Genomic DNA, 4,158 nt, shown 5'->3' with positions numbered 1-4,158 from the left:
TTAAAGTTTGAGTTGCTCAAAACTGAACACCAAATTGATATGGGCATATGTGGTAAGTGAGAGTCAGCTAATTGCTATGAGAATTCTAAGAAAACCTGATCAATTGGTACAAAGTTCTGTTTGTGATTATTTGGACTTAGAAGATGAGAAAAAAAGAACGTGCATATGTTTGTTTCATAAAATTTATACAATAGGATCAAAAAGAAAGAGTAAATTTTTTTTTACTGGCAGACACATACTATGAAAGTATTTTAGTTTCCAGTGTTGATAAAATTCATCTCATTAAGAGAATAATGCTCCTGGTCCAATAAGAATCCAGTCCCTGTCTCTAACAAATATACCTAAATGTATGTTAGTCATAGAGAAGAACTTACTTCTGGTGTAACAACTTAAGGTATACTTCTGATCTGCAGATGGAGGAAAGCATCACAAGCCATCTGTGAGCACAGATCTCCCAGCATGACTTTTATCATCTGAAACTGCTTCTGGATGTTTGTATGATGGACTAAGATCAGCTAGATTAGTGATTTTCAACTGGGGGTGATTTTGGCCTTCCCCCAGGGGACATTAGAAATGCCTGGAGACATTTTTGGTTGTCACGACTTCAGAGTGTGGGGGTACATTCTACTGGCATCTAGTGAGGAGAGGATGGAGATGCTGTTAAACATCCTGCAGCATAGAAAATAGTCCCTCATAACAAAGAATTATCTGGCTTCCAATGTCAACAGTGCCAAGGCTGAGTAATTCTGAGCAGAGCCATTGTTTTCTCTCTGTTGACAAATAGCTGAATTTGGGGTCCCAGCTACTGATAAAACTATGGTCTAAGAAAAGCCTCATGTGGCCAGTATCAGCCCACCCTTACCTAGCCATAAGAATTTTCTGTTTTATATAAGTGGAGGAGAAATCGAGTTGGGATACACAAGTGAATGCCAGTAATTCTTTCTTTGTCAAACTAATTTATTCTCAATTTAAAGGACCTTTTGGTAAGGGCACTCAGTTAATTAGTTCATGGGAGTGGGTTAGAAAGGATGTGTAACTGTTTTTCTCTGCCTGTAATTCACATGTTGACTCAGGGTTCATTCGGAATAAGTAGAGTGGAGGTAAGATCCTCAGAAATGGAGAAAGTAGAAGGTACTTCTAGGAGATTTGGGGAGAGGAGAGGGGAACAATTCATTTTAAAGATCTAGAGCAATTCATTTTTTTTTCTTTGGGGTGTCAAGTTACTTATCTGTAAAATATTGTGCTAAAATACAGGGCCCTTCTATTTATTATTTTATATATCAGATGATTATTCCTTTCCAGGTTCTGCTAGAGACATAAGAAATGTGAAAAAGTCATTCAAACAAATACAGTTAGTGAAAAAGAAAGATGTAGCTATAATATTATCCCTTTCTATCGGTGACATACTATTCTTCTCTTAAACACCGTGCATAGAAGACTGCTTGGCAGGTAGCAGGTGCTCAATAAGTATTTTCTGAATAAATAAATGTTTCATTATCCAAAATATGGACTTTCTTTTAATGCAATACCTGTCATTCATTTTATGAAATTCTGCATAAGCCCTGACTTTTCTTTCTGCAAAATTTTTCTATCACTGATTTCTTTGTCTTCTGAATGTGACTTTCTGGGAGGCGCTGTCATTCTTGCCATGGTCTCCTGGTTGTTTTATTTTTATTTATTTATTTTATTTTTTTTAAATAGATGGGTATTGCTATGTTTGCCAGGCTAGTCTTGAACTCCTAGCCTCCAGCAATTCTCCTATCTTGGCCTCCCAAAGTGCTGGGATTATAGGAGTGACCCATCGAGCTTGACCTTGTTTTATGTATATATATATACGTATATACACACACACACACACACACATAAATATATACATATATACACACAAATATATACATATATACGTATATACATACATATACGCATATATATGCATACATATATATACTATATATGTGTATATATATATATTTTTTTTGAGATGGAGTCTCGCTCTGTCACCCAGGCTGGAGTGCAGTGGCACGATCTCGGCTCACTGCAACCTCCATCTACCAGGTTCGCGCCATTCTCCTGCCTCAGCCTCCCGAGTAGCTGTGACTACAGGTGCCCACCACCACACCCGGCTAATTTTTTGTATTTTTAGTAGAGACGGGGTTTCACCATGTTAGCCAGGATGGTCTCAATCTCCTGACCTCATGATCCACCCACTTGGGCCTCCCAAAGTTCTGAGATTACAGGCGTGAGCCACCGTTCCCAGCCTATATTTTTAATGTTACTATCCTTTTGACTACCTTGTTGCCAAATTACTCCTTTTAATACTTTCTGCATACTTTCTAATACTTTTAGCACATTTAATTGTCCCGTTTTATAAAATGAAAATCTTACCTTTATACCTTAAAAAAATTTAACACTTTAATATACTTTTACTAACTAGCTTGGAATTTTACAGTTTATTTAAAGTACTATCTGTTAAAAATTACTTTTGGCAAGGTAGGTCATAAGGCTAGTATGTCATTGAGTAGGATTTTCATTAACGAGAAATAAAAAGACTTTAATCCATGTTTGACATTAACTAGTTGTGTGACTTTGGATACACCTCTTAGATAATATTGGAGCTATGTCTCAGTTATATAATGCTTTATGTTGCTATGATTTTGAAAAGAGGAAAAATATTATCTGATATTTGAATTCTTGCAAAAGATATGTTTTACTCAATACATTAATGAAAAAAAATTATGAAGAAGCTTAAATTTGGAGACCCAGGGCCCTGTGTTGCCTTAGTTACTAATAACTCTTATAGAAAATTGTGTTACATAAAGTACTTAGAGGATGAAAATAAATCATTTACCACATCATTGAAGGGAAATTATTCTTTCACAAAGAAAAAGTTTAAAAATGAAAAGCTTTTTTCTCACTCATATTGGCTTTAATCAGGCCAGCTGCCTCTTAGCAGTCAAACAACCCATTTCTCTTTTATCACTATCATTGTGTTTGAATTATCGTGGCCCTGAGATGAACTGCTGCAGGAAAATGGCTTGAAAGAAATACATATATATACATTGGCATCATTCTTCAGTCTCTTCTTTTTGGTAGCACAGCTTTCAAGCCAAGTTGGCTCCTGTTCAAAACTAAAAAAAAACAACAAAAAAAAAAACCAAAAAAAACCCAACAGTTAAACAGCTGGAACCAATTATACTAACTTCAGAGGGACTATATGCTCAAGTGTCCAAGTAGCAAACTGGATCTCTGATACAATGGGCTTGTTATTTTGTGACTTGACCACACCACTTACATTTAGTTTGCCCATTGCCTCCTATTAAAGGTAATCTCCAGAATTAGGCACCCATACACTTTCAACAAACAAATGTTATTATTTTATTGCGTTTGCATAAGCTCACAAAAATCACACCTTAAGCGTGTATACACATGAGTGGATCTTATTTTCTTGGAAAAAGAAACAATTAAGAAAATTGGATGTAAAAGTTAAGTAAATATGTATCTGACAAGCAATATATTTTGACACTATCATAGGGATATGGAACTTTAGAAAGAGAAATGCACTTGGATAATGACAAAATAAAATGCATATCACAGACTATTTTTTCCAGCATCAAAAATATTAAAAATATAGTTTCTCTCAAGTTCATTTATAGAAAGAATGAGAAAATTAAGTGGATTGCAAATGATTCATGTAAACATTTGTCTTCACAAGAACATACAATTTTCATAACATATTATTATATTTATACTTTATGTTTTATAAAGTTGCCTCATTTTTTAAGGAGCTTAGACTGCAGCCCTCTAGCTGTTTGAGATGCTTATTCTCTAGAATCAGGAAGTAAATGTTGGCAATAATATTAAATATAATTTGGATAGGAAAAAATCCAGTTCATAATTTTATTCCCTATGAAGAGCAAATTATAAATTGGCAAGATACACTGGTTTTAATATGTTCTACTCTGAAATAGAAACTCCCTTAAGTTTACTGTAGAAAAAAAAATCCTTTGCTCTCCATCAAGACAAGCATCTCACAAATCACAAAGAGGATTTTGTAACCAGGCAACCAAGGTCAGTGAGACTGTGACCAAGGCTTGGAGAACCAGCTGAACACACACACCAGGCGGGGAGAGGATTTGAGCTGCAAGGAAGAAAATAAAT

At 35.1% G+C, this 4,158-nt stretch overlaps 1 annotated feature.

Annotated features, from left to right (window-relative positions):
• Nucleotides 2,191-2,360: an enhancer, noted in NCBI's record as "experimental_74681 CRE fragment used in MPRA reporter constructs". NCBI's record gives its function as "activates a minimal promoter by MPRAs in K562 erythroleukemia cells, with activity observed for both the introgressed and non-introgressed 4:138316198 variant alleles {active_cell/tissue: K562}" and the evidence as "EXISTENCE:reporter gene assay evidence [ECO:0000049][PMID:34662402]".

Source organism: Homo sapiens, chromosome 4 (assembly GCF_000001405.40).
Source record: "Homo sapiens chromosome 4, GRCh38.p14 Primary Assembly".
Lineage (NCBI taxonomy): Eukaryota > Metazoa > Chordata > Mammalia > Primates > Hominidae > Homo > Homo sapiens.
Note: the sequence above shows the minus strand (reverse complement) of the source record. Positions and strands in the feature narration are given on the sequence as shown.